The sequence below is a fragment of the Homo sapiens genome, chromosome 10 (assembly GCF_000001405.40).
Source record: "Homo sapiens chromosome 10, GRCh38.p14 Primary Assembly".
NCBI classification, from domain to species: domain Eukaryota; kingdom Metazoa; phylum Chordata; class Mammalia; order Primates; family Hominidae; genus Homo; species Homo sapiens.
In genome coordinates this window covers 73,769,209-73,785,593 of record NC_000010.11, presented here as the reverse complement: position 1 = coordinate 73,785,593, position 16,385 = coordinate 73,769,209, and the positions used below count along the sequence as shown (strand labels likewise).

Below are 16,385 nucleotides of genomic sequence, written 5' to 3'. Positions count from 1 at the left end.
CCCCCATCAGCTGATCTGGACTTCCGGCCGCGCGGGCCACCACCACTTCCGCCCTCGCGCGCTCGGGATCCGGATCGGGTACGGGCGGATGTAGGGGACATTTTTATTTAATGGCTGCATTTGCTTTTTTTCCCTCGAGCCCACCCTCAGACATCATAAGAGGAAGCCAACTCCCAACGTTATACGAAGCAACTACAGATCCCAGCAACAACTCGGAGTCCATAATGTCCCCAAGGCATAAACAGCCGCCATGCATGTTGGGAATTGTAGGCTGTCAGGAGAGGACAGCAACTATTGGATGGAGTTATTGTCTTAACTCTGGATAGGCCCCAGGGCCGCACCACCTTCTGGGAATCGTAGTCCAGAAGTCTGCAATCCAGCCGACCTTTTTATAGGGTCTAACTGGGGAAACATCAGAAAAGAATGCATTTGATTTCAGGAAATGGTTGTACTGTTTGTCCATACGGCCTTTGGATCTAGTAACTCAACCTTTTTTTGTGCCATGGACCCTTTAGCAGTCTAGGTAGGTTTCTGGACCCCCTTCTCAGATCGTTTACAAATGCACAAAATACCAAGAATTACAAAGGAAACCAGTTGTTTAAATACAATTATTAAACTATTAATAGAACAAATCTGTAACGTAATAGTGCTCCTTTATTTACACATTAAATGACAAGATCTAGGAGGAAGCGTAGTAACTATCATAATTTTGAAGCTAGTGATGAGTATAAATGCTTTTTGAGATATTTGTAACCAACTGTAACATGGTATGAAAATACCATGATTTCATATAGGTTTTGATAATGTTACTGTGGTTTGTTTTCCATAGCCCTGACTGAAATGCTAAATTTCAGTTGGAGTTAAAAATATAAATTATCCCCCAAGTTCACAGACGTCTTAACTGGAGTCTATTGACCTAGGTTAAGAACTCCTAAGGCCAGGCGCGGTGGCTTACGCCTGTAATCCTAGCACTTTGGGAGGCTGAGGCGGGCAAATCACGAGGTCAGGAGATCGAGACCATCCTGGCTAACACGGTGAAACCCCGTCTCTACTGAAAATGCAAAGAATTAGCCAGGCGTGGTGGTGGGCGCCTGTAGTCCCAGCTACTCGGGAGGCTGAGGCAGGAGAATGGCGTGAACCCGGGAAACGGAGCTTGCAGTGAGCCAAGATCGTGCCACTGCACTAGCGCGGGCGACAGAGCGAGACTCCATCTCAAAAAAAAAAAAAAAGCTAACTGAATTATGCCTGAAAGGGCAGAGTATACATAAAATGCTATGCAATTTTTCCTAGTATCAGGGGAATCACAAAAGCGAATGCCTTCAGCAACTAGGCAGCTAACTTGAGAGAAGGAAACAGGTAATAAACAAAGTAGACATTTGTTAATTCTGTTTCACCATTTTGTAGAGTCCAGTGGTGAGGTCACTGGAGAATGCAGACAAATGATAATCAGCTCTACCTAATTACTGCCAGGTGGAAATAAGAAAATAAGGCTGCCAGAGCTTTTAATTTTTTTTATTAAAAAAAATAAGTGGCTGGGCACAGTGGCTCATGCCTGTAATCCCAGCACTTTGGGAGGCCAAGGCGGGTGGTCCACTTGAGGTCAGGAGTTCGAGACCAGCCTGGCCAACATGGTGAAACCCCGTCTCTACTGAAAATAGAAAAATTAGCCCGTCATGATGGTGGGTGCCTGTAATCCCAGCTACTCAGAAAGCTGAGGCAGGAGAATCACTTGAACCTTGGAGGCGGAGGTTGCAGTGAGCTGAGATAGTGCCATTGCACTCCAGCCTGGGCAACAGAGCGAGACTGCGTCTTAAACAAATAAATAAATACAGCTAAAATGTGAAATTTTAATGACTTTTTTTCCTATTTTTGAACGTGACCAGCTAATTTTAAAACTTTTTTTAACTGCGTGGATCAAATAAAACATATCTGCAGAACCTCTAGGTCACCAGTTTGTTAACTTTATTATTCAGAGAGCACCTTGCAGGGACTACGCACAAAATAGGCAATCACTAAGTATTTACAGACGAAGGCAACTTCAACTTCCTTATTGCATCCAAAAGCAAGGGCACTAAATGGTGTAAAAGACTTCAAATGCAGGGAAAGACAATACAACGGTATTTGTCCTGCTCCTAGGGCAAATCAGGAAGGAAAGAATTTCCAGGGTCTAGGGGAGGCTCAAGAATGAAGAGAGTACCTAATTCACAACAAAAGGCCAAGTTCTGTTCAGAGGATTTTATTTCAAGATAAATCATAACTTCTACCCATACTATGATTCCAAAGGGTGAAAAAAGTGTTTTGCCTCTTCTACCCTCCAAAGAGGGCATGGCAATGCCAATGTCTCTAAAATGCCTCTGCATAGTTGTCAGAAGCTATATTTCAGTCATTGAAAATACTTGTCCATTTTCAGCTGAGGTAAGGTTTGTTAGGAAACCTCTGTAACAACTTATTCAATTTATTTGGAAGTAAACTCCCAGACTCTCCCAGGGTTTCCTGTATTGATCTCATCTTTCGGGCTTCCTGAAAACACAAAACAAATACAAGAATGACAGCTCTACAGTTTGTCTAGTCCAGACTTTTAAGATCTGACCCAAAAAACCAATCAATCAATCAAGTTTGTCCTGATGTAGGCCCATAGTTCTCACAATGCCCTAAAGCACATGAAGATGTTAACCAGCCTGGAGAGATCTATGTCAGCCTCTTTTCAACAAAAGGGCGTTGGGACCTACAAATGAGACTATGTTCAGAAGCTACTATCTCAGCTAACAATTAAGCCTAGACAGGAAACCAAACTATTGTCATTATTTAGTTTTAGTCTCTTTAGTTCTATTTCACACAATAATGTCTACTTGAGCAGCAATTTACATTTTTCAAAATGATTTTCCCATTCATTACTTCATCTGACACTCACAACATTCTTTAAGGTGGTATTGGTTAGCCTCATTTTACGTACAGTAACTCGAAAGTTCAGAGCAATGAATAAATCCGTCAAGATCACACAGCCTTCAAAACTGTAACCTTTCCCACTTTGGCGTGAATAATATACCTCCCAAATGAATGAAAGGGCCTTTCCTAGCAAAAGGCAGGGAGAATCATTACTTCTATCTCCCCCATTCTTTTCCTGAGAAAGCACCCCAGGAGCCATCGGTCACCTGAGCCCTCGCGGCACAATCGAGGAAGCCCTGGATCTCTTTTCTGCACGCATCGTCGCGGAATTCATTCTGCTTCCAGCAAGCCATCATCACCGACATCTCCGTGATGCAAGTCGCCTCTGGAGGGGCAGATCCGGGGGACCTTCAGTCACAAGAAGACCCACCTTCCTGCCCTCCTACCCACCCGCCCCTGCTCATGCTCCGGCTTCCGCTCCGGGGCCGTCCTGACTCCGACTGCTCACCGCCCTTCTCCCGGCGCCGCTCCCCGACGCGGTTAGCTAGAATGAGAGGTTTATTGGGCTTCAGCACAGGCTTCCGCGGGTTCCCAAACCGCGCCAGACGACCCCGCAGGCTGGGTGTCGCCATAGCGCACCAAGCTCCCGGCAGGCTTTGCGGTTCCGTGCGTGACCTCGCGTGACCCCTACGGGCTGGACGAATCGGCGCGGAGCTCGGGGAAGGCTCGTTGGCTTGCTGGCAGCCACCTCTTTCTTTTACTTGGCCGGGGCTGCGGCGACGCTGGGTTCGAACAGCGGCGGGTTCATACTTGTCAGCAGATTAGGAGGAGACTCTGGGTTCGTACGCCGACTGAGGCTTCTCCTTGATGGGCTCCGGGCCCCGAAGTCTGGGGGCAGTACGGGGCCGGGGACATGCAGGAAAGGGCCCTGGTAAGTGGACACTGTTCTGGTGGTAGCCGGCTTGGTCTAGGGGCGATTGGCATAGGGCGGGGTTGGGGGGGGGGGTGGCGAATCAAAATTTGAGACTTTAAGATGTTGGGTTGGGAAAGATTCGTGTTTTACTTTAATAAACCTGAAAGAACTGTCGTTTTTCACTGCCTATAGGACCACTACAAAGCCGCAAAGAAAAATTAGACTTGTTTCATTTTATAACAACAACAACTGCTACTACTGCTACTAGTTAGATACCGTTTGCTCATTTATAACAATCTCAGTTGGTAGGATGAAGCTTAAACACTTGGCATTCATCGTCTTTTTCAGTCCTCTCGCCAGTCTTACAGACTTGGACCTTCAGTTGTGATGCTTAATCAGAATTTTTTTTGAGATAGGGTCTCTCTTGGTTGCCCAGACTGGAGTGCAAGTGGCACGTTCATAGCTCACTGCAGCTTTAAACTCCTGAACTCAAACGATCCTCCCGCCTCTGCCTCCTGAGTAGCTGAGAACACAGGTGCAAGACACCACGCCCAGCTAATTATTTTTTGTAGAGACGGGGTTTTGTCATGTTGCCCGGGCTGGTCTCGAACTCCTGGGTTCAAGCGATCTTCCTGCCTCGCCCTCCCAAAGTGCTTTACATGACTGAGCCTCCGCGCCCAGCCAGACTTGTTTCTCAAGTGACTTCTTCTGGCCATTTTCACAACTCATTCCAAAGATGTGCAGCATATTCTCAAAGCATTTCCAAATAAGCTCCAAGAAATGTTTTTGGTAATGGAAGCAGAAAACAAGCCTGTAGCTCATGACTACTTTGGAGGAAGAACATTTGGATTTGTAAATTTAGTGTGTTAAAAAAATCACTTATCACAGATGTTTGGAATCTTCCCACTGATTTCTGCATGGCTGCTTATTTTTCTTCCCTTAAGTCTCAGTTCATGTCACAGAGGGCTTCCCTGACCTCTCACACCTCACCACCATCAACCTGTTTTCTCCATAGCACCTATCACAGTCTGAATTGTCTTATTATGGCCTTACCTATCCCTAACACCCATTTAAAAATGTAAGCATGAAAGAAGGAACGTTGTCTATCTTGTTCATTGCTGAATCCCCAGTGCCTAGAATAGTACCAATAAATACTTGTTAAATGAGCAAATGTTTTATTTATTTATTTATTTTTGGATTTGGGGTCTTGTTCTGTCACCCAGGTTGGAGTGCAGTGGAATATTAGCTCACTGCAGCCTTGGCCTCACTCCAGTGATCCTCCTGCCTCAGCTGCTGGAGTAGCTGCGACCACAGGCTCACACCACCAAACCCGGCTGGCTTGGTTTTATTTTTTGTAGAGATGGGGTCTCAGTATGTTGCGCAGACTACTCTTGAACTCCTGGGCTCACGTGAGCTTCCCTCCTTGGCCTCCCAAAGTGCAGGGATTACAGGCATGAGCCACCACACCCAACCTGAAACTTTTTTACAAATCTCCAACTTTATTACACCCACCCCCAAAAAAATAATGAAGCAGAAGACATTGTTTAACAAGAAGCAGTTTATTACACAAAACGAAACCTGAGATAATAGAAAATAACACTTGCAGTAATAAAGGAAGCAGCCTTGCACTCCACCTCCACACTCCAGAGTATAATTAAAAGACTCCTATCAGACATTTCTATCACCAATAATGCCAACCTCTGTATACAGCAGCAGGCTGGGCCCCAAATCAGAAGATTCATGTTGCTTGCTTTCTCTATAGGGAAAGTGAAGCTTTCGGTAAGTATCATGTGGCTATTCCTGGTTCTACTTTCCCTTGTGGAAATGTAATACCTGGTTTACACTGCTCTTTTGTGAGTACGTATATGGTGATAGGAATAAAGGAGAAAGTCTGGAAAGCACCAAGCACAAAGCAGGCCTGAGGCTCCAGCAACAGTCATTCAGAAACAACTGCCCACTTTATACGTAAAAGTATGAAAGGAATGCCAATGTGAGCCCATGTCATTAGGAGAGGTAAGGATAATCTACACCTTGCTTAACCATCACTTAACCTTTTTATTGCACATAATGAAATTTAAGCCCTAACCTAGGTCTGTACTTGTGTAATAATTATGCACTCTAAATTAGCATCTGCATTTAGATAGATTGCAAGCTTAGAAATCAGTCCTGCATTTGACCTCTTTTGTCAGTGCCTACTATATCAAATTTTAACAGATTTTTTTTTTTTTTTTGAAATGGAGTTTTGCTCTTGTTGTCCAGGCTGGAGTGCAATGGCGTGATCTTGGTTCACCACCACCTCCGCCTCCTGGGTTCAAGCGATTCTTCTGCCTCAGCCTCCTGAGTAGCTGGGATTATAGTCATGCGCCACCACGCCCAGCTAATTTTGTATTTTTAGTAGAGATGAGGTTTCTCCATGTTGGTCAGGCTGGTCTTGAACTCCCGACTTCAGGTGGTCTGCCTGCCTTGGCCTCCCAGAGTGCTGGGATTACAGGCGTGAGCCAGCTCACCCAGCCCAACAGATTTTTTTTTTTTTTTTAGACAGAGGTCTCACTGTGTTGCCCAGTTGGCACTCATAGGCGCACTCACAGCATACTACAGCCTCAAACTCTTGGGCTCAAGCGATCTTCCTGCCTTAGCCTTCTGAGTAGCTGGGACTGCAGACCCATGCCATCACATCTGGCTTAGATATATTTTTGAAGGTTTTTTTTTTTTTTTTTTTTAGTTTCTGGAGTGCAGTGGCGATCCTCCCACTTCAGCCTCCCAAGTAGCTGGATCTACAAGGCACACACACCATGCCCAGCTAATTTTTTCTGTTTTTTGTAGAGATGGGGTTTTACCATGTTACCCAAGCTGGTCTTGAATCCCTGGGCTCAAGCGATCCTCCTACCTTGGCCTCCCAAAGTGCTGGGATCACAGGCATGAGCCACTGCACCCAGCCTGAAGGTCTGTCTTCCCTCTTGTTCTTTTCTGCAAAAGGTCAAACAGGGTAAGCAAACTTTCTGTAATTTATGAAGATCATCTTTTATTAAAGGACTAAATGAAAAAAGAACAACTTTGGCAATAAAATTCAGCCTAATTACAGCTTTTCTTGGCCGCATCCTTAGATGTCAGTATATTAAGTGTAGACCCTAGTTGTTGAAGCATCTAACATATATCTATCTATATAGGTAGATATATAGATATAGGTATAGATAATATTAAACTGTGGAACTTCTCTAGTGATAACTCACTAATACATTACAACTAGAGTAGCCCTAAGGTCCAAGGTATTCTTTCCTGTCCCACTGCCCCAGAAAGAGCTAATGGTCTCCCTGCTCATTAGACTGTATGTTCAAACCACAGCAACAGAAGGGTTTGGCTGCATCCCCAAATCTGACTAAGCTTTTTTTTTTTTTTTTTTTTTGGGATGGAGTTTCGCTCGTCACCCAGGCTGGAGTGCAATGGTGCGATCTCAGCTCACTGCAACCTCTGCCTCCCAGGTTCAAGCAATTCTCCTGCCTCAGCCTCCCAAGTAGCTGGGATTACAGGTGTGAGCCACCGTGCCCAGCTCTGACTAAGCTTTTATTTAGCCAGCCACTTGTGGCTTAAACCTCCTCATCCCCTTGAGTGGGCTCCATCAAAAAGTAGTCTCAGGCTGGGCACGGGGCTCACTCCTGTAATCCCAGCACTTTGGGAGGCCGAGGCGGGTGGGTCACTTGAGGTCAGGAGTCCGAGACCAGCCTGGCCAACATGGCAAAACCCTGTTTCTACTAAAACAAATACAAAAAAATTAGCCAGGCATGGTAGTGCGTGCCTGTAATCCCACCACTCTGGAGGCTGAGACACGAGAATTGCTTGAACCTGGGAGGCAGAGGCTGCAGTGAGCCAAAATCACGCCACTGCACTCTAGCCTTGGTGATGGAGTGAGACTCTGCCTCAAAAAAAAAAAAAAGGTGGGGGCACCTGGGCACGGTGGCTCACGCCTGTAATCCCAGGACTTTGGGAGGCCAAGGCAAGTGAATCACCTGAGCTCAGGAGTTCGACACCAGACTGGCCAACATGGTGAAACCCCATCTCTACTAAAAATACAAAAATTAGCTAGATGTGGTGACGGGCGCCTGTAATCCCCACTACTAGGGAGGCTGAGGCAGGAGAATCACTTGAACTGGGAATGCAGAGATTCTAGTAAGCTGAGATCGCGCCACTGCACTCCAGCCTGGGCAACAAGAGCGAAACTCCATCTCAAAAAAAAAAAAAAAGTCATAGGGAAGCGTATTAGTAATACAGTGAATGAAGCTGGACTATTCATTGCACTTAAAGTGAAAAGTGCTACAGATTATGAAATAATTACTAAAACATACAGCCACACTGTTTCCATAACTGCAGAAGATGGGACTTTGTAGCATATAAAAACAATAAAATAGAGGGAACACTTCATTAGGCAAACAAAAGAATTAGGACCTATAAAAATTTGCACTTTTTTTCCTGGATTTTTTTTTTTTTTTGTCAACCTACTCACCAAAAAATTTGCACTTTGACTCATATTGGCCTATTTTAACATTTCAAAATCATTTAAAGAAAAATATGACTTTTTCTGTCATAATTCCCAGTCTTAGTCTCTATCTTTGATCAAAAAGAGGATAGGGCAATACATTAAATTGACAAGGCATATAACAGCCACTGAATCTTTCTGTTCATGAGAAGAAATCCCAGATACACCATAAATGAGATGCAAACCAGCAGTAAGAATGATGGCAAGGTTTCTGTATTTCCATCAGAAATTGTGGAAAAGGGCCTAAAACCAGGAAAGACAAGGCCATTAAAAAAATGTATTTGAGGCCGGGTGCGGTGGCTGACACCTGTAATCCCAGCACTTTGGGAGGCCAAGGCGGGCGGATCACGAAGTCAAGAAATCGAGACTATCCTTGCCAACATGGCGAAACCCTGTCTCTACTAGAAATACAAAAAATTAGCTGGGCGTGGTGGTGCATGCCTGTAGTCCCAGCTACTCAGGAGGCTGAGGCAGGAGAATCGCTTGAACCAGGGAGGTGGAGGTTGCAGTGACCCGAGATCATGCCACTGCACTCCAGCTGGTGACAAAGCAAGACTCCATCTTAATATATATATATAATTTGAGACGGTGTCTCGCTCTGTCACCCAGGCTGGAGTGCAGTGATCATGATCATAGCTCATTGCAGCCTTAAATTCCTGGACTCAAGTGATCCTCCTGCCTCAACCTCCCAAGTATCTAGGGCTACAGGTGTGCACCACCATGCCCTGCTAATTCTTTTATTTTTTAGAGACAAGGTCTTGCTAGGATGGTCTCAAACTCCTGGCTTCAAGCAGTCGCCTCTCCTCGGCCTCCCAAAGTGTTGGGATTACAGGCATAAGCCACTACGCCTGGCCAGAAAAAGCCAAAAAAAAAAAAAAAATTAGGGCTGGGTGAGGTGGCTGATGCCTGTAAACCCAGCACTCTGGGAGGTCAAGGCGGATGGATTGCTTGATCCAGGAGTTGGAGACCAACCTGGGCAATGTGGCAAAACCTCATCTCTACAAAAAATATTTTAAAAAAATAAATAAATAAGTAAAATAGAAGTTTGACATGAAAGTATATAATATAAAAAAATCCAACTCCGGAAAACCAGAATACAACTCACCAAATGTTTTGCTTCTCCACCAACGTAACAATTTATAAAGCAAGAGATGAGAAAAAGAGATTATTGGGAAATGTACTGAATAATGAGGAGTCTGGGGAATAGAACAAAAGTTGTAAGTCGTAACCTGACCCATCTTACTTCACTGGTAATCAAGTACAGTCGAAAGGATGAAATAAAGAAGTGAGTAGTTTAAAAACTCTGTTGGACCAGCACCTTGAATCAAATGGATGTTTTAGGGTTCTGTTTCCCACTGAACCAAGAATTGTATCCCTCCATCTCTCCTTGAGGAGAGGCCCTATGTTAGACCTTGGCTACTCATCATTAAGATAAAATCTTAATAGATAAAACTGGAATTCCTTGAATCCATGAAAAGACAGTGTTCATTAAGGGTTTGTGCAGTGGATGCTCCTTATGTCCCATGGTAGAATAAGATCTCCTTAGCTCCGCCAAGTTAAAGGCTCTTGCAAGGGCACTTAGAGATGTTGCCTCTTCATGAAGATTTCATGTAGGTAATCCCAAAATTTCGTCTGCTCTGTTTCATTGTTGTGGATCATGGCAGTGAGAGCTTCCCCCTGGTCCAGACCTTGCCAATAATCTTGCAGCCACATCTCTTTCCAACTGAAATATCAAAATGGGGGTTGGATTATGGAACTGCAGCATAGTTATGAGTCCTGCCTTTTTCCGAGTGGGGCCAAAGAAATCTTAAGCAGATACAGTGGTCTCTAACTTGGACAAGACTGCTGTGAAAGGAAGACAAAGTGAAGTAAATCCAATATAAGCCCAAGCGACAGGCAGTAAGTCACAAACACAAAGACATCACACAGACTACCCAATCAATTACGATTCCTGACTTGCCTGCTTCTGGCTCCCAAATGTGGAGGGGGTTCAGAGGCAGGCAAAGCAGAGGCCAGACTGGAAGTGGCAGTCTCCATAAGGAAAGCAAGGGGGCAGGGGTCTTTAGATGATTATCTTTTAAGTTTCACCTTTATGCCAATAATCAAAATGAAGGTGCATCAAAATGAAGTAGCATCCAGTATCTAGAAAAGACATAACCTGAATATTTATTTTCTTAATGTTTCATATTTTTTCATACTTTTCCTCTAGTAAATCATATTATGTTCAGATACAAACAATTTGTAATTAGATACAAATTACTTGGTGAAGGATTCCAACCATCAGGACAAAACTGCCAGCAGCATCTGTTAATAAATGGCCTTCTGCTGCCATCCACTGTCCAAGTCGGTTTCTATAGGCCATTCTAGCAGCCTTACTTCAGCTTAATAATCTTATCACCTCTCCCCCAATAGGTGTGGCTTGCTACAAGTGGTTTCAACATTTTCCCACCCCACACCACACGCTGGCCTTGTTTCCCAGTACCACCACCTTTTGCCACCTACTACAGTAGCCTATTCGCTTCCCTTCTGATGCGCATTGTGCATTGTTTTGTGTGTGTGTGTGTGTGTGACAGGGTCTTACTCCAACCCAGGCTGGAATGCAGTGGCACGATCCTAGCTCACTACAGCATTGAACTCCTAGGTTCAAGCAATCCACCTGCCACAGCCTCCCAAGTAGCCAGGACTACAGGTATGTGCCACCACCCCAGGCTTTTAGTTTTTAAATTGTACAGAGAGGCTCTTATTATATTGTCCAGGCTGGTCAATATATTATATTATATATTATATTGTCTCTGGCCTCAAGTGTTCCTCCCCCCTTGACCTCCCAAAGTGCTGGGATTACAGGTGTGAGCCACCGTGCCCGGCCATGCCTAGTTTTTCTAGTTACACAGGCAGTGTGTCCCCACCTGCACCAACTACATGGGGCTCATCCTCAGCACAGCCGCTTAAAAAAAAAAATTATGGCTGGTTAACAGGTGTAACCCCTGACTACTGCAGAAAAGCCTCTCTAAAAGTGCTCTTCTCTACTGCCCAACCCCATTTCCACTCTATAAAAGGTGCTCAAATAGCTGAGTTGATTTTTAGTGCAGTGCAAACTCCTGAACCTGGTATTAATGATATTTATAGCCTTGTCCCTATTTATTTGCCCCATTTTCTCTCTCCCCTGTCTGCACAGGCCCTGTACTCTGGTTCAATCTTTTTGAACCACTACTGGAAACATTGTTCACATAAGCTGATTTTCATACGTTGCCTTGAATTATATTTTACATCTATTCAGCTTTTTCAGCTTGTCTTATCCCCCCAACTAGACTGTTGACACCTTAAATACAGAATGAGCCCATGTGATAATTTCCTCCTGCACCTGCTCAGCACCTAGTGCTACTTAATTGCCCACAGTAAGCAAGTAAGTAAATGATTTGATAGCTGCAGGGGACCCCAGCACTCTTACCTGTCATTCTCAGGAATCTCTTCCACATTGCCAAAGCCAGGTGTGGGCACTGGGCAGTCCATGTGTGAGGGCTGGGCAATGTGGGGCTCAAAGACGGGGCTGTCCCCGGGAGAGGCCGCGTGGGCTTTCTCGGCATCCAGCCGAGCCAGTTCGTAGTCACAGACGAAACACTCGAAGCCGTTGAGGTAGTTAGGCAGCAAAGGATCATTCACTCCCCACTCCCGATGCTTCAGACTATCCAGAAGAAATTGGTTGGTGATGCCCCCAGGTTGCTTGTATGCCAGGTATTTCATATACTCCTCATCATTCTTGTCCAGAAAGTCAATAAACTCTGCCAGCTTCTGAGGAGACTCAAAATCATCAATCAGGATGACGGAGTGATTGTTCGGCATCCAGTCCCTCACAGAGGGAGAACCGCGGTACACGGGCACAGCGCCCAGGTGCATGGGACGCCACAGTTTTTCTGTCATGTAGTCGTTACAGATGGCATTTTCCAGGGCCAAGTGGAACTTATAGCGGGACAAGAAAGCCAAGAGCTCTGGATCCTCGGTGGTGGCCGTGGCTGTGTCCTGTAGCCGCGCGGTAGGCAGCTCCCGATTCTGCAGGCATTTCCCGTAGGAGTCTACCTAGACCGGGTACAGTAAGGCTGTCATGAGGGTGCGGCCCTGGAGGCCTGGACACCTGGAGTCCTGGACACCTGGAGTCCTGGACACCTGGAGTCCTGGCCTCAACCCGCCCTCTCCTTTTCCTTCCCTCCGGCCCGCCCTCACTCACCGGGATGTGGCGCATGAGCTCGCGCACGTAGCGGTCCCGGTCCGCTGGCACGTCGCAGTGTGACTGCAGATAGAGCAGCGGCGCGTAGCCGCGGCGGCGCCACTCCGCGCGTTCCATGGGCGGAGGCACCGGGCGGCGCAGATAGGCGGTCCCGGGCAGCCACTGCAGCGACAGCGGGTAATCCGAGTGGCGACTGAAGGTGGAGGTAAGATTGAAGAGGCGGATGCCCGGGCCGTGGCTCAGCAAGAAGTTGTTGAGGGGCGACTCCTCGTGGAGGAGCGCCCAGCTCTGGTGCGCCAGGCGCGGCAGCGGGGCGGCCGACGCGCGGAAGTCTGTGCCGTAGAAGAGCAGCGCGCGCGTCCGCGAGTCCCTCAGCGCTCGGCGGTTCCGGGACGCCACGCACGCGCCGCGCGCACACTCGATGCGCTCCGAGTCTCCCGGGAAGTGGGGGAATAGCCCTGGGCTCCACCACAGCAGTACCGGCAAGTCCCCCGCCTCCTCCCTCCCTGGCCGCGGCGTCCCAGAGCTGCGCGTCACCCCCACTGCGCCCAGCGCCGAGGGCGGCCGGAAAACCGCGCCATCCCACGGTTCCGCCCACTCCGCCTCCCCGCCGGCCTCCCTCTCCGCTACGGACCCATGGCCGCTGGCTGCACAGACACTGAGCACCCCTAGAAGGACCAACACCACCCTAATGGGGCCGGCCGCCATGTCCACTCCGGCAGCCGGCGCCCCCTCGGCCAGCACCGACCCCGCCCAGCGGATAGTCGTGACCGGACGAGGCCCTACGCCACGGGGGCACGTGGCGCATGCGCAGCTCGCTCAGCCGACGGCCAGGACTAAAAGCAAAGTGAGCTTTCGGGAGTAAAGATGAGGCTAATGGTTACATCTTAATTTATTTTATTTCTTTACAAATTAAAGATGCATTGAAAAATAAACCAATGAAGAGAAATGAGAGGTCCAGAGCAGGGGCATCCCAGGTGGGGAGCAGGCAAGCCTGGCCACCATCAAGCCTAGCCCTTGTCCTGCCCCCAAGCCAGTTGGGGTTGGAAGATAACTGTCAGCCACTCAGTCAATACCAAAGCCCAAGCGGTGTCCCAGCAGGAGAGAACGGCGCTCCAGCTGCCTCTGCCTCTCTCCCCAACAACCCCGGGCCTGGAGAAGCAGTGTTTCTCGTGGGAGCTCAGAGTGGGATGTGAACTGGCTCTGTGAGGTATTGCAAGTTGATGACCAGGCTCCCTAGGCTCCCTACAGAACCATCCAGTGTTGGGGCCTCTCCAGCTGGAAAGGAAGCTGGTACCTCTACCAGATCTTAATATATTTTGCAACTCAGTTCTCCGGTCACCTCTGACAGTGTGCCTCTCTATCCACGGAGTGATCATCAATCATTGCAGGAGAGAGCGAGCGAGCAGTGAAAGCAGAGAAACTTGACTGCTAACCTCCAGGCCCAAGAAGGACTGACCACTTTTCTCTCCACCACCTATGGGCTATACCCCAGCTCTTGTGCACCTATATGTTTTATCCCTAATATAGGAAGTTGTGGATGACACTGAGCCCCCTGTAGTAACCTTAGGATCCCCACTCTTTCCTGCCTGCCCCTCTCCTCTTGGGAGACTGGTCCAAAGGGACACATAATATTGCCAGGGTCTGGGTGCCTCCAAACCCCCAATACCGAATCATATACAGTGAACTGAGAAGCTACATTCATTATGACAGGATTAGCAGGAAAAAGAGGGTAGAATGAGGGAACAGGGGCACCTTCCATCAGCAGGACATGACAGAGTGGCAGGATACTTGAGCCCAGAAAGAAGGTGTCTCCTTATATCTCCCCCTCCCCCCAGAGAGACTGAGGTCAGCTTACATAAGATATGTTACTGTCCCAATTTCTCTGACATCCTGGGGTGCTTTCTGGAAGCTAGCCTGGGCCCTATGCCATTTACCCACTTGCTTTAGCTCAGTAGCTGCCGAATCTCCTTGTGCATATGACAGAGAAAGTCCACATAAGATGCTCCCCCACTCAGACTCTTGTCTTCCACCAGGAAGTGCTTGAACAGCATCTCCATCTTGTCTTCCTGTTTCACCACGGTAAGCTACGGCCAGAATTCAGGGTTCATAAGGCAAGGCCAAAGGAAATTAAACATGCCCAGAAATCTCATTAGGCAGTCACTTACTCATTCCCCACCCAACCCCCACTTCTAGGTGAGGACTTGACAAGGTAAGAAATCCAGGGTTCAGATCAGTGTTACCTTCATGTACCGGGATCTCTGTGCCCGTAAGCTATCAATGAGGCCTCGAACCTTCTTGGACAGTGGATTATCCAGAACTGGCAGAACACTCTAGAACACAAAATTCATTTATCCTTATGGTAAGGCACTCTGAGTTCAGTCAAGGTGGGGCAGCATACATGTATGCATCATCTGAAACAGGCAAACCTGGGAAGAATGACAGCAACTGCCCTTGTCCCCAAGTGTTCCCTGATATTTGAGGGTACTAGCACACTAACTATATTGGCTCCCAATTGTTTCACAAAGTATACTTCCACACCCATATTCTCCTTGACTCCCTGCCCTCACCAAACCACTGGTGATCTGACTGAAGGAGGAGACGCTGAAAAGGCTCTGGACAACACCCTGTTGGACGCTTGCTCCCACCCAGAGGAAGAGGTTGAGCCCATTCTCCAGTAAATATATATCCCCATTGCTTAGACGCTCTTCAGAGGCTCGAACTGCTGGTGGTTCGGTAGTACTCTCAACGGGAGACTTTGTCTAGACAAAAGGAAGGGAGCAAAAGGTTACCAAGGACCATAAGACAAGTCTGCCCCCCCGCACCACACACAAAATTTTGAAAGCTAAGTCCTCAGACACCACCCCTTCTGGGGTCTCAGTAACTCTCTCAGTGTGAAAATTACATCAGCTAAAATACATAAAAACAAATTCCACTAGTGTCTGACTGATACTAGCCTATCCTTTCCTCCTCCTAAGAGGCCCTTTGCTCCGTGCAAGATCTCATACTCCAACCCTCAATCGCACCAAAGGTAAGAGCCGAGGGTAGAAGAAGACATTGGTCTCAGTCACATCCATGGAGGTAACTAGCTGTCGGACATAGGCACGGTCATCAGTAGTGACTTCAGCTCCAGGCTGCAGGACATCACTCTTCAACACACAGTTCAGGTAAACTGGGAGTAGCTTCATGCACTCAGGAAGGATCAACTGAGGGGATTATCAAAATAAAGTCAATGATCATGAGAAATCCCTCCCAAATGCAAACATTTGTCCCAACAACCCCACCTCCCACTAATATACTTGCCCCACCTGTCCTGCAGAGGAGGGGCTAGCACAGTTCTTTCTGTAACAGGCCAGGATCTGGGCACACTGGGTGATGAGCGTGTCACGAACAGCCTTCACAGGGCTATTCAGGACTCCCCGATATGCTGGATGGGAAAGCAAAGATAGTCACTGGTCAGCTGCCCATCATGTGTGCATTCCCACCATCACAACTACCCACTCACCATCCTGGACCTCTCAGCCCCAATCCCACCCTGCCCTGCTTCTACCCTCACCAAACTTGGCCATGTAGTTGATGAGCGTGTCAGTCTCACAGTTTCGATATAGATCAGCCAGCTGGGTGCAGCAGTTCAGGGCCAGATTATGGATGCGGAGCCGACGCTGCCCTGCACAGCTGGTGTAAAGCAGGGCACACTAGGGGAAAGGAGAAAGGGGGAACTCACACCCCTCCCTCACAAAGGCCCTTTGCTACACTATTAAACTGGAAGAGAGAAATGAGCCACTCCCGTGCCCTGTCTCTTCTTTTAGTGCTCTCTACCCATTCCTCACCCT

At 47.5% G+C, this 16,385-nt stretch overlaps 3 protein-coding genes and 1 long non-coding RNA gene across 16 annotated transcripts in view, besides 9 other annotated features; 1 reads left to right on the top strand and 3 right to left on the bottom strand.

Annotated features, from left to right (window-relative positions):
* Nucleotides 9-228: an enhancer, noted in NCBI's record as "active region_3576". NCBI's record gives its function as "activates an Ori minimal core promoter by ATAC-STARR-seq in GM12878 lymphoblastoid cells {active_cell/tissue: GM12878}" and the evidence as "EXISTENCE:reporter gene assay evidence [ECO:0000049][PMID:35858748]".
* Nucleotides 1,472-1,646: a silencer, noted in NCBI's record as "fragment chr10:75543706-75543880 (GRCh37/hg19 assembly coordinates)". NCBI's record gives its function as "represses an EF-1alpha promoter that drives an FKBP-Casp9 reporter gene in an ReSE screen in K562 erythroleukemia cells {active_cell/tissue: K562}" and the evidence as "EXISTENCE:reporter gene assay evidence [ECO:0000049][PMID:32094911]".
* On the bottom strand, nt 1,942-3,546 carry CHCHD1 (coiled-coil-helix-coiled-coil-helix domain containing 1). The gene is made up of 3 exons (NM_203298.3): nt 3,395-3,546; nt 3,153-3,271; nt 1,942-2,520 (listed from the first exon to the last, which is right to left on the bottom strand). The coding sequence occupies exons 1-3, from the start codon at nt 3,516-3,518 to the stop codon at nt 2,407-2,409; spliced, it is 357 nt and encodes a 118-aa protein (NP_976043.1). The 5' UTR covers nt 3,519-3,546; the 3' UTR covers nt 1,942-2,406.
* Nucleotides 3,336-3,475: an enhancer, noted in NCBI's record as "active region_3575". NCBI's record gives its function as "activates an Ori minimal core promoter by ATAC-STARR-seq in GM12878 lymphoblastoid cells {active_cell/tissue: GM12878}" and the evidence as "EXISTENCE:reporter gene assay evidence [ECO:0000049][PMID:35858748]".
* Nucleotides 3,596-3,905: an enhancer, noted in NCBI's record as "active region_3574". NCBI's record gives its function as "activates an Ori minimal core promoter by ATAC-STARR-seq in GM12878 lymphoblastoid cells {active_cell/tissue: GM12878}" and the evidence as "EXISTENCE:reporter gene assay evidence [ECO:0000049][PMID:35858748]".
* LOC107984243 (uncharacterized) lies at nt 3,641-4,965 on the top strand. Its single transcript, XR_001747500.3, has 2 exons — nt 3,641-3,817; nt 3,992-4,965. It is a non-coding gene; the product is annotated as an uncharacterized LOC107984243 (long non-coding RNA).
* A 374-nt stretch (nt 4,966-5,339) lies between these two features.
* Nucleotides 5,340-13,318, bottom strand: POFUT4 (protein O-fucosyltransferase 4). 5 transcript variants are annotated; one of them, XM_006717656.5, is made up of 3 exons: nt 12,553-13,318; nt 11,779-12,404; nt 5,340-6,766 (listed from the first exon to the last, which is right to left on the bottom strand). In XM_006717656.5, exons 1-3 carry the CDS (start codon nt 13,258-13,260, stop codon nt 6,670-6,672), a joined length of 1,431 nt encoding a protein of 476 aa, XP_006717719.1. In that variant the 5' UTR covers nt 13,261-13,318; the 3' UTR covers nt 5,340-6,669. The 5 variants fall into 5 exon arrangements, with proteins under 5 accessions (XP_006717719.1, NP_001271123.1, NP_775811.2 ...); NM_001284194.2 differs by lacking the exon at nt 5,340-6,766 and adding an exon at nt 9,375-10,175; NM_173540.3 differs by lacking the exon at nt 5,340-6,766 and adding an exon at nt 9,375-10,053.
* Nucleotides 11,901-12,431: an enhancer, noted in NCBI's record as "H3K4me1 hESC enhancer chr10:75532921-75533451 (GRCh37/hg19 assembly coordinates)". NCBI's record gives its function as "activates a minimal SCP1, AML or CMV promoter by ChIP-STARR-seq in primed H9 embryonic stem cells {active_cell/tissue: H9 hESC(primed)}" and the evidence as "EXISTENCE:reporter gene assay evidence [ECO:0000049][PMID:30033119]".
* Nucleotides 12,007-12,056: an enhancer, noted in NCBI's record as "active region_3573". NCBI's record gives its function as "activates an Ori minimal core promoter by ATAC-STARR-seq in GM12878 lymphoblastoid cells {active_cell/tissue: GM12878}" and the evidence as "EXISTENCE:reporter gene assay evidence [ECO:0000049][PMID:35858748]".
* Nucleotides 12,717-12,826: an enhancer, noted in NCBI's record as "active region_3572". NCBI's record gives its function as "activates an Ori minimal core promoter by ATAC-STARR-seq in GM12878 lymphoblastoid cells {active_cell/tissue: GM12878}" and the evidence as "EXISTENCE:reporter gene assay evidence [ECO:0000049][PMID:35858748]".
* Nucleotides 13,037-13,086: a silencer, noted in NCBI's record as "silent region_2487". NCBI's record gives its function as "represses an Ori minimal core promoter by ATAC-STARR-seq in GM12878 lymphoblastoid cells {active_cell/tissue: GM12878}" and the evidence as "EXISTENCE:reporter gene assay evidence [ECO:0000049][PMID:35858748]".
* Nucleotides 13,417-13,596: an enhancer, noted in NCBI's record as "active region_3571". NCBI's record gives its function as "activates an Ori minimal core promoter by ATAC-STARR-seq in GM12878 lymphoblastoid cells {active_cell/tissue: GM12878}" and the evidence as "EXISTENCE:reporter gene assay evidence [ECO:0000049][PMID:35858748]".
* The window catches only part of SEC24C (SEC24 homolog C, COPII component), a 27,790-nt gene continuing 24,837 nt past the window's right edge, over nt 13,433-16,385 (bottom strand). For all 9 annotated transcript variants that reach the window (XM_047426032.1, XM_047426033.1, XM_047426031.1 and 6 more), the window contains 6 exons: nt 16,109-16,247; nt 15,861-15,979; nt 15,579-15,758; nt 15,123-15,314; nt 14,796-14,885; nt 13,433-14,639 (listed from right to left, as the gene is read on the bottom strand). In XM_047426032.1, the coding sequence (XP_047281988.1) occupies nt 14,499-14,639; nt 14,796-14,885; nt 15,123-15,314; nt 15,579-15,758; nt 15,861-15,979; nt 16,109-16,247 (861 nt within the window). In that variant the 3' untranslated portion in view covers nt 13,433-14,498. The remainder of the gene's footprint in view (nt 14,640-14,795; nt 14,886-15,122; nt 15,315-15,578; nt 15,759-15,860; nt 15,980-16,108; nt 16,248-16,385) is intronic.